Below are 11,323 nucleotides of genomic sequence, written 5' to 3'. Positions count from 1 at the left end.
GGAGGATTGCTTAAGTCCAGGAGTTTGAGACCAACTGGGTCAAAATATCAGGACCCCATCTGTACCAAAAAAAAAAAAATTGTTCAGATGCGGTGGTGCACACCTGCAATCCCAACAACTTGGGAGGCTAAGGCCAGTGGATCGCTCGAGCCCAGAAATTCAAGGCTGCAGTGAGCTGTGATTGCACCACTGTAGTCCAGGCTGGGTGATAGAGTGAGACTCTGTCCCTATTTTAAAAAATAATCAGAAGAAAAGGAGGAGGAGGAGAAGAAAGGGAGAAGGAGAAGAAAGAGAGGAGGACGTGGAGGAGGAAGGGGAGGGGAGGGAGAGGGGTAGGAGGAAGATGAAACGAAGAATACTTTTCATGGGCTTACTAGTAGACTGGACATGGCTGAGGGAAGAATCTCTGAGCTTGAGGATATATCATAGGATCCTGCAAAATTGAAAAGCAAAGAGAAAAAAGAGTGGAGGGAAACAAGCAGAAGAGAATATCCAACTGGGACAACTACAAAATGTTAACATAGGTGTCATGGAAATACCAGCAAGAGAAGAAAGACAAATGAAAAAATTGAAACAATAATTACCGAGAATTTCTCCAAATTGATATCAGAAATTAAATCTCAGATCCTAGAAGCTCAGACCACTCCGAGTATGATAAATGCCAGAAAAAGTACACGTAGGCATATTATTTTCAAACTACAGAAAATCAAATATACAATGAGAACACACGGACAAGGCAGGAGAAAAATACACACTGGGGTCTGTCACGGGGTGGGCTGGGGAGTGAGGGAGCGTTAGGAAAAATAGTTAATGCACGCTGGGCTTAATACCTAGGTGCTGCGTTGATAGGTGCGGAAAATCACCATGACACACGTTGACCTATGTTACAAACTGCACACCCGGAACATGCATCCTGGAACTTAAAAATTTTAAAAATATATATATAAAGAAAAAAATCCTTATAAAAGCTGAAGGGAGAGCCTTACCTATAGAGGAGTAAAGATTAAAATTACATCCAATTTCTCTTCAGCCCATACAAGAAAGAGGAGAATGAAGTGAAATATTTAAAGTGTTGAGAGAAAAAAATTCACCAACCTAGAATTCTGCACCCTATGAAAGTATCCTTCAAAAGTGGAGGAGAAATAAAGACTGACTCAGATAAAAGTTAAAAGCATTTGTTATCAGTAGACTTGCTTTGCAAGAATTGTTTAAGGAGGTTCTTCAAAGAGAATGAAAATTATATAGGTCAGAAATCTGTGTCTACCTAAAGAAAGGAAGAGCATCAGGGAAGGAATAAATGGAGATAAATAAAAGCATTCATTTTTCTTATTCTTAATTGATCTAACAGATTACAGTTTAAAATAATAAGATAAACAAAGCATTTTACCATCTGTGCACATGTGTATGTTATACATATGTTATATACATTTTTATGAATATATGATATAGTGACAACAATAATAAACGGGATAGAAAGAAGACATCAGAATTGTGTTATTATTAGAAGATACTTGCACTACCTGTGAAATCATATAATGTTATTTGAAATGGATTTGGATTAGTTATAAATGTATATTTCAAAACTCTAAGAAAACTACTAAAAATATTTTTAAAGTAGAATTGATATGCCAAGAAATAAGAGAACATGGAAGTATATAAAATGCTTACTTAAAAGCACCAAAGGCATAAAAAGAATGAAAGACAAAAATAGAAATAAAGAACAAAAGCAACAAACAAAAAACCGTAACAAATTTGGTTTATATTAATATCAGTGTATCATAAATTACTTTGAACATCAGTATTTTTAATGCATGAATTAAAATACAGAGATCATTAGAAAGGATTAAAAAATAAGACCTGGATAAAGTGTTTTCTTTTTTTTCTTTTTTTTTTTTTTTTTAGACAGAGTCTCGCTCTGTTGCCCAGGCTGGAGTGCAGTGGCGCAATCTCGGCTCACTGCAAGCTCCACCTCCCGGGTTCATGCCATTCTCCTGCCTCAGCCTCCCTAGTAGCTGGGACTACAGGTGCCCGCCACCACGCCCAGCTCATTTTTGTGTGTGTTTTTAGTAGAGACGGGGTTTCACCATGTTAGCCAGGATGGTCTCAATCTCCTGACCTCGTGATCTTCTGCCTCGGCCTCCCAAACTGCGGATAAAGTGTTTTCTAACAAGAAAATCACTGTAAATATAAAGACATATATAAATTAAAAAGTAAATGAATGGAGAAATATATACCATACTAAAACTATTCAAAAGAAAGCGGAAGAAAGAGGTAGCAAAGTGGTTAATACTCACAATACCTTGGCTCTTGGAAAAATTTCTGATTTATTTGTATAGAAAGTTCCACCTCTGTAGCACGTGCATAGTGTTTACTTAATGCCCTTTCCATCATCACTCATGTCGCTTTATCATCTGTGACCATATTCCCAGAGGCTCTCTCACTGGTTGCTATGGTGCTTCACTGATGATAACCACATATGCAAGTCTTGCCCAGAGTATGCAGGATAATGCCAAGAAAAGCTTGCTTTGTTTGGAATTTTATAGCATAAACATACAATAAAACCTCTTCCAACCATATCACCTTTTGACCTTTTAAGGCCATGATCTCTGCTTTTCTAGAATGAAATCTCTTTCAATGTTGACCTTCACATTCCAGCACCAGCAGGAAGCACAGGTGAGGACTCTCTGAGTAGCATTAGAAGAGTAGCCGCACTGTGAAAATAATATTCATTCCTCAGCTGGTGAAACCAATGACCAGAACCAGAAAACCAGAAAACTGATGCATCCATTGGAGACAAGGGAGTACATATCCTAGAATGACCCATTGAGACTGCAGAGCAACTGTGTCAAAAACGCTTGGATGAGACACGTGCCTGTCTTATTAGGACATATTACAGCCCTATTATTAGGACATATTAAAGCCCTATTTTACCAACCTCCTTTTTTTCTCTCTTTTTCCCTTTCCCAGATTTTGCCCCAAATTCTTAGTTATTACATTTCTTGTACAGATCAAAAAATGTAAAGAACTCTATTTTTACTTGACTACTTGACACCTGCTTTCTCTCTCTCTCTTTCTCTCTCTCTCTTTCTCCTATCTCTGTATCTCTCTCTCTCTCTCTCCTTCTTGCTCTCTCTCCACTTTTGCATTCTGATATCCTTCACTCAATTCGACATAATATCCACACACACACTTAGGGTATATGTCTCCCAAAGACAGTGAGGAACTTTAAATAAGAAACCAGTTTCAGTGGCTGGGTGCAATGGTTCATGCCTGTAATCCCAGCACTCTGGGAGACCAAGGCCAGCAGATAAAGAGGTCAAGAGATCCAGGCCATCCTGGCCAACATGGTGAAAACCCATCTCTACTAAAAATACAAAAATTAGCTGGGCCTGGTGGCACGCGCCTGTGGTCCCAGCTACTCGCGAGGCTGAGGCAGGAGAATCACTTGAACCCGGGATGGGGAGGTTGCAGTGAGCCAAGATTGTGCCATTGCACTCCAGCCTGGTGACAGAGCAAGACTCCATCAAAACAAAAACAGAAACCAGTTTCTCTGAGACAAATAGTTTATTTTCCTTTGTTCATTTCTTCTAATTAAAAGGATAATATTTGTAAAACACTGGACACAGTACAGGATACATAGAAAAACTTCAATGCTTGGTGGCATTTATGACTATGATGTTATTCTTGCTTTTTCTTACACTAGGGGAAAATAAAATCTTTTTTGCCTGTCTGTTTAAGAAGAACCATGTGCATAAATGCCCAGACACATCCACGTGATGATCTCCACCTATCCACAGATAGAAAACACATTTCTAGGCACAGATAATGGGATAAAGTTCGTTACAATGGCTCATAAATGATCACATGAGCCTAAGCAAAAAGGAAGGGGAAAACAATAGCTAGTAGGTACAAAACACATATTTTCAGGTATTTTCACATACCTGAACCCTTACAACAGTCCTATGGAGATACACATTATTATCCCCAGCCCTTCTATTATATTTTATCACCACCAAACTGGCCATTAGGAGCTTAGAGGGCAGAACCTTCTGCAAAAGTTTTTATTTATGGCATTCTTCAGCTCCTTGTTCCTTAGACTGAAAATGATTGGGCTGAGGAAGGGGGTGAAGACAGTATAGGTGGTGGCCATCAAGGCATCACTGTACATAGAATGGAGGCCCTTGGGTTTGAGGTAGATAAGGGAGGCAAAACTATAGTGCATGACCACCACAGTGAGGTGGGATACACAAGTGGAGAAAGTCTTGTGCCGGCCCTCAGCAGAAGGAATCCTCAAGATGGCAGCCACAATGAAGACAAAGGAGAGGATGATGAGGAACAAACAGCCTATCAGGGCTGTGACACACACCAGCATCACACCCATGATGACAGATGATGTCTTGCTCCCACAGGCCAACTTCAAGAGGGAAAGCACATGACAGAGAAAATGGTGGATCACATTAGACCCACAGAAAGTGAGGTGAAAAACCATCATTGTCACCATCATCCCCATGACCGAGCCACCAGCCCAGGTCCAGGCCACAAGATGGGCACAGCCACGGGGACTCATTAGCATGTTGTAATGCAGTGGGTGGCAGATGGTCACGTAGTGATCATAGCCCATGACCATGAGAAGGAAGGAGTGAGTGAAGCCAAACATGAAGGAGAAGAACATCTGAATGGCACAAGCCACAAAGGTGATGGAACGATGGGTGAAGAGCAGATCAGCCAGCATGCGAGGGGTGATGGCAACAGTGAACAGAATCTCAGAGATGGAGAGGGCACACAAGAAGAGGTACATGGGTGTGTGGAGTCTGCGTTCAATCCAAACTGTGGCCATGATAAGAAGGTTGCCAAGCAATGTGAACAGGAACATCAGGAGGTACAGCAGGAACAAGACAGGCAGGAGCTGCTGGGGGAAGGCTGAGAAGCCAGAGAGGATAAATTCAGATATGGTTCTGTAGTTCTGACCAGGCATGGATACTGTATCTGGTGAGATCAGAAACAAAATTAAGTGACAGTGGTTAAAACTTAGACTCTAGCACAGACCAAATGGAAACCCAACAGCTCTATGCTATTCAACAACTGGTGGAACTTTCTGGGTCTCACTTTCCTCATCTGTTAAATGGAGTAAATAATAATAGTTCTTAACATTCAGCAATGTGACAAAGATCAAACGAGATCAATATATTAGATGACCAAGTCAGATGTTGGCTACTAATTGGGTTTCCATTAACACTGACTAACATAAAGAAAAGTTTCAATACTTGGAGCCATTAGAGACAGGCATGGATGATCAGGGTCAGATTCCCCTGAAAATGTGCCAGTTCTAGAAAACATTTATTTTGATCTTGAGCCTTAAATTTTTGTTCCCCAAGAGTCTTTGTCTTTTAATTGCTTATTTAACCCGTTTACATTTATTTTAATACTCATTTATTGATACTCATTTATGCCATCTTATTTCAAATTACACATTTACTATTCTAATAAATCTGAATAGAAAATTCAAAAATAAAAGGATGGGTAAATATATGTCTGAAGAATATGCACCAAATGAAAGCTGAGGCTGCAACCTTAATAAAAAAGTGGAATTTAAGGAAACAATGATCGCAAGGTCTCTAATACAATACACCTCTACAGGGAAGTAGAGTTCCTTAACACATGGCTGATCTGTGGTCTGGACATGGAAGAAAGCCTTGGACATCTTCTACCAGTGTAAAATGAAATTTTCACTAAGTAATGGGATAATATTAAAAGCCTGCAGGTACCAGATTGAAAAGATGCCCACTAGTCAAAAACAATAATCATTGTACAGAAGATGGAGGAACAAGCTAAATTATATAATGAGAAAGCTTTCAGAAAAATCCAGAAGGTGGATAATTCCACAGAACAATTGGTCTGGTTTCACTGATAGAGGTATATTGAAAGGATAAGAGAGATTCCAGGACATAGTAACTGGATGCAACATAGGGGACTAGTTGAATCTTGATCTACATAACCAGCTGTAAGTATTTTAAGGCAATAGAGAACATTTTGATTACAGTATGAATGAATGATTACGTATGAGTAATATTAAAGCATTATTATTGATCTAATTGTGAATTTTTTAGAGACAAGGTCTCACTCTGCCCCCTAGGTTACAGTGCAGTAGTAGGATCATGACTCACTGCATCCTGGAACTCCTGGGCTCAAGTTATGCTTCTTCTCAGTCTCCTAAATAGCTGGACTACAGATGTGTGCCACCTCACCTGTCTAATTAAACATTTTTTTTTTTTTTTTGTAGAGACAGGGCTTTGCTTTGTTGCCCAAACTGGTCTCTAATTCCTGGCCTCAAGCAATCTTCCTGTCTCAGCCTCCCAAAGTGGTGGGATTATACACATGAGCCACCATGCTCAGCTAATTATTTTTGTAAGTGTTATCTGGTTATTTTGACTATGAAGGTAAATGTTTAGTTTTTCAATGCATACCAAGATTTTTACATCTCACACACACACACATGCACACACACTAAGGGACAGAGAATAACATTTATACCCATTAAAAGAACATAGCAAACAGCATCAATACTATAAATCCATGTAACTATATATCCTGGAATATTCATTAACAAATAATCAATACAACTTCAGTGAGATAGATAGAAATAGCCAAATCGACGGCAGATTGATTATTTTTTTTTTGAGACGGAGTCTTGCTCTGTCACCCAGGCTGGAGTGCAATGGTTCAATCTCGGCTCACTGCAACCTCCCCTTCCCAGGTTCAACTGATTCTCCTGCCTCAGCCTCCCTAATAGCTGGGATTACAGGCGCGTGCCACCACGCCTGGCTAATTTTTGTATTTTTAGTAGAGGCAGGGTTTCACCATGTTGGCCAGGCTGGTCTCAAACTTCTGACCTCAGGTGATCCGCCCACCTCAGCCTCCCAAAGTGCTGGGATTACAGGTGTGAGCCACCACACCTGGCAGATAGATTATTATAGTTAGAAATTTTAACAGAGTTCAGAAATGCAATTTATTAATTATTAATTACAAAGCAATTAATAATATCCAGACATTAGCTATTATATATATTAGACTCTTCACCAAAAAGAAAATTAACACTCTTTCAACCACTCAGCGACTTTTACAAAAATGGACATTTCATTAGAATATAAAAATTTATTTAATTCCAAAGCATAATAATATGATATAGATTATAATGAATTAACATTAAAAATCAATAGGGAAGAAATAGCTTTACAAATCTCATGTGTTTGGAAGATAACTATATAATTAAATAATCTACAGTTTCAACAGTAAATCATAAAATGGAGGAATATTTAGAATTAAATGATAATTTAAATATTGAATGTCAACATTTTAACCTAAAATAGTACTTTGAAGGAAATATACAGCTCAAAATACCTTTATCAAAAAACTGCCTCAAGAAAAAAATCATGCATAATAAAATCAAAATCAAGTTATTGGAAAAAATTAATAAGATAAACAAGGAGAAGGTACCAATAACAGAACCCAAAATTACAAATGGGAAATAATTACAGAGATAATTGATATTTTTAAATTAATAAAAATAGTAAAAGAAATAACAAATTTACATTGTAGATGAAATGAACAAGTACTTAGAAAAATATAAAATTCCAAAACTGGTGCAAGAAAAAAGGGGATGCTATATGCTCAAATAAGCTTTAAAGAAATTGAAACGGTAGTCAAAGATCGTCTCTCTAAAATCTTTGCCCCAGTGGGTTTTATTAAAGTGCGGTAAGTACTATTAAACTGTTAAAAAAAAAAACAGTTGGTTAGAATCTTACACATGATCTTCAAAAAAATAGAAAAGAGTTAGGAAATCTGACAAACACATCTCCTCAAGTTAATGCAATCTTTGTCTAAAATCAGGCAAGAATCTTCACCGAGAAAAAGAGACAATTATAGGCCTACTTCACCTATCCAGGCAGATTTAAAATTCCAGAATAAAACATAACCTATTCAAATCTAATGGTGTATTAAAAATAGTTTACCATGATCAAGTGGCATTGGTTTATTCCATAAATGACAAGATTGGTTAACATCAGAAAACCTATCATACAATTTATCACAGGAATCGATTTAAAAAGAAAAATCATGATTATTTCAATCAAGGCATAAATACATTCTCTAAAACCCTACTCCTATTATGATTTAAAAAAAAACACTTCACAACACAAAATCCAAGGAGACTTTCTTAACTAGATATAGAATATATAGCACAAATTAGCAAATACAACACTGAAGAAGAAACTTTTCCATGCATCACTTTAGAGTCAAGAAAAAGCCAAGGATACTCACTAATTCCGCTGTTCTTTAACATGGAGCTGAAATTCGTGAGTGATGGTATAAGGTAAGGGAAAGAAACAAGTTATCTAAGGTATCTAAGGACTGGAAGGGAAGAGACGTGATCATCTACCTAGAAAAGATGAAAGAATGATGACATCATGTATTAGAACAGCAACAGAGCCCAGTGATGCAGAAGGCAAGGTCAGCTGGCAAAAACCCCAGTGATCCTCCTAGTATCACACCAGTAACAAGCATTCAAGAAGTATAATCTGAATACAGAGAAAGAGAACAGTCCCAATAGCAACACAAACTATTAATATAAAGAAACATCGCTCAGGATCCCTTTACACCTCAAAGTTACTAAGCACTCTAAAGGGCTTTTGTTTATGTGGTTTAGAACTATCCATTTTTACCATATTGGAAATGAAAATTGAAAATTATTAAAAATATTTAGTTATTAGTATATTTAAAAAAGCATGCCCAGGCACGGTGGCTCACGCCTGTAATCCCAGCACCTTGGGAGGCCGAAGTTTGTGGATCACTTGAGGTCAGGAGTTTGAGACCAGCCTGGCCAACATGGTGAAACCAGGTCTCTACAAAAAATACAAAAATTAGCTGGGCATGGGGGCACGCGCCTGTAATCCCATCCACTTGGGAGGCTGAGCCAGAGAATCACTTGAACCCGGGAGGCGGAGATTGCAGTGAGCCGAGATCATGCCACCGCACTCCAGCCTGGGCAACAGAGTGAGACTTCGTCTCAAAAAAAAATTTCTAAAGAGCAATAGTAAGTCTATTGAATGCTAATATGGGAAACATTTTCAGGCAAATAATCACATTAGGAAAAAAGCATTTCATGAGAAGAGTGGCCTTGTTTGACATTTTAGCCAATACCTCATATGTCCTAGCTTGGCAGGAAACAGCTTGATGGTTTCATCTGCCTCTTCATTCAGTCTGTGGCAATATATTGAAGCATATGATGAAAATATATTCTCACATGTAAATTTGAAAAATAAGGATTTCAGGGACCACTCTGCAGAGGTCCTCATGTCACACTTTGAAAAAATCTGCTATAAAATATCTAGGAATTAACCAAAAACATGACATAGCTCCAAAGAAAAAATTTTAAATACATACTAATAAAAATGTAGAAGATGATCTGAACACATGGGGAGCAGTATAGAGTCTTGGCTGGGATGGCCTGATGTGCTAATGGTGTCAATTCATCCTCAAATTATAACCTCAATACTTAATAATACTCAATAATATAATATTGTATTATATTTACAATTCCAGTGAATCAACTGTAAATTTGATAAAACTATTTGAAAATTCCTTCAGAAAAATAAATATCAGGCCAGGCACGGTGGCTCACACCTGTAATTTCAGAACTTTGGGAGGCCGAGCTGGGCAGAACACTTGAGGTCAGGAATTCAAGACCAGCCGGAGCAACATGGCGAAAGCCCGTCTCTACTAAATATACAAAAATTAGCCAGGTGTGATGGCCCACTTGTAATCCCAGCCACTTGGGAGGCTGAGGCACAAGAATTGCTTGAACCTGGGAGGCGGAGGTTGCAGTGTGCTGCCTGGGTGACAGAGTGAGACTCTGTCTAAAATAAATAAATAAATAAATAAATAAATATGGAATCAAGGGAAGAGCTGTTCCCTCCCACGCGCTGAGACACACAATAGAGTCATAGTCATTTTTAAAATTATGAAACGTGGAACAGACCTAGGTCTGGGTAAGTCGATTGGAAATCTCAGAAAATAACCCTGCATTATTCAAAACCTAATATAGTACACGATAAATGTACTGGCACAAATCAAGAGGAGAAGGTAGGTTGTTCACCCATTGTAGTGAGAAAACTGCTCATTTTATGAAGCAAGTCAATCCGAATTTCTGCCAAACTCTACATACAAAGGAGGATCCAGATGCATTCAAGAAATAAATACCAAATATCAAGGTGTAAATTTAAGAGAAGAAAGTATAGGAGAATAACTTTGTGATCTAGGCTTGAGGAAAGACTTCCTAAACAAAATTTCCAAAGCACAATCATTAAGATGATTTTTAAAACATTAAAAAAATCAACATTGAGGATTTCCATTCAACAAAGGATTTCCAGGATGAAGTTAACAGGCAGATGGGAAATGGGGAAAAATTATTTGCATTGTCTAAAACCGACAGGAGCACATCCAGTGGTGTGGGGAATTTCTTAAAAACTGACAAGAGAGTTATATCTAGAACAAACAAGGAACCAGTTATATCAAGAAGAAGTAGGTATCTTAATGCAAAAACGAGCAAAAGATGTGAGAAGATAATGCACAGGAATTACTCAGGCAGATGAAAGGATGCTCGAAAAAAAAGAAAAAAGAAAAAGAAAACAAAAAGGAAAAGAATGGAGGGAAGGGGAAAATGAAAGAGAGAGTGGAATTTCACTGTATACCTATGCAATTCCCAAAATTATAAAATGTCCAGTATTGGTTGGGCTATGAGGAGAAAGAAATATTTACGCACTATAGGCTGGGCGCGGAGGCTCACGCCTATAACCCCAGCACTTTGGGAGGCCGAGGGAGGAGGATCACATGAGGCCAGGAGTTTAAAACCAGCTATGCCAACATGGCAAAACCCTGTCTCTACCAAAAAGACAGAAATCAGCCAGGCTGGAGGTACACATCTGTAATCCCAGCTACTTGGGAAGCTAAGGCATAACAATCACTTGAACCCCTGGAGGTGGAAGTTTCAGTGAGCTGAGATGCCGCCACTGCACTCCAGCCTGGGCCACAGAGTAAGACTCCATCAGAGGAAGAGGAAGAGGAAGAAGAAGAAGCAGAAGGAGAAGGAGAAGGAGGGGAAGGGGAAGGGGAAATACTTACATACTATTAGTGGGCATGTAGAATGTTGGAAATTAAAATTTTTAATGGGATTCATGCTCTGTGTACCAGCAAATTTGCTACTGTATATCTATCTTGACTTCTGAAACCTGTTTATAGGGGGACATGTAAAAGAATGTTTCCTGCAGCA

General features: G+C 38.4%; 1 protein-coding gene across 1 annotated transcript; it reads right to left on the bottom strand.

The window, feature by feature from the left end:
• Positions 1 to 4,024: 4,024 nt before the first annotated feature.
• Positions 4,025 to 8,383, bottom strand: OR10H3 (olfactory receptor family 10 subfamily H member 3). Its single transcript, NM_013938.2, has 2 exons — positions 8,317 to 8,383; positions 4,025 to 4,986 (listed from the first exon to the last, which is right to left on the bottom strand). Exon 2 carries the CDS (start codon positions 4,973 to 4,975, stop codon positions 4,025 to 4,027), a length of 951 nt encoding a protein of 316 aa, NP_039226.1. The 5' UTR covers positions 4,976 to 4,986; positions 8,317 to 8,383.
• Positions 8,384 to 11,323: the final 2,940 nt, after the last annotated feature.

The sequence above is a fragment of the Homo sapiens genome, chromosome 19 (assembly GCF_000001405.40).
Source record: "Homo sapiens chromosome 19, GRCh38.p14 Primary Assembly".
Classification (NCBI taxonomy): Eukaryota; Metazoa; Chordata; class Mammalia; order Primates; family Hominidae; genus Homo; species Homo sapiens.
This window is presented reverse-complemented; position numbering and strand designations above follow the sequence as displayed.

What these genes read in the sequence shown, in the direction of transcription:
- OR10H3 (NM_013938.2), bottom strand. Translation starts at nt 4,975, where the DNA reads ATGCCTGGTCAGAACTACAGAACCATATCTGAATTTATCCTCTCTGGC.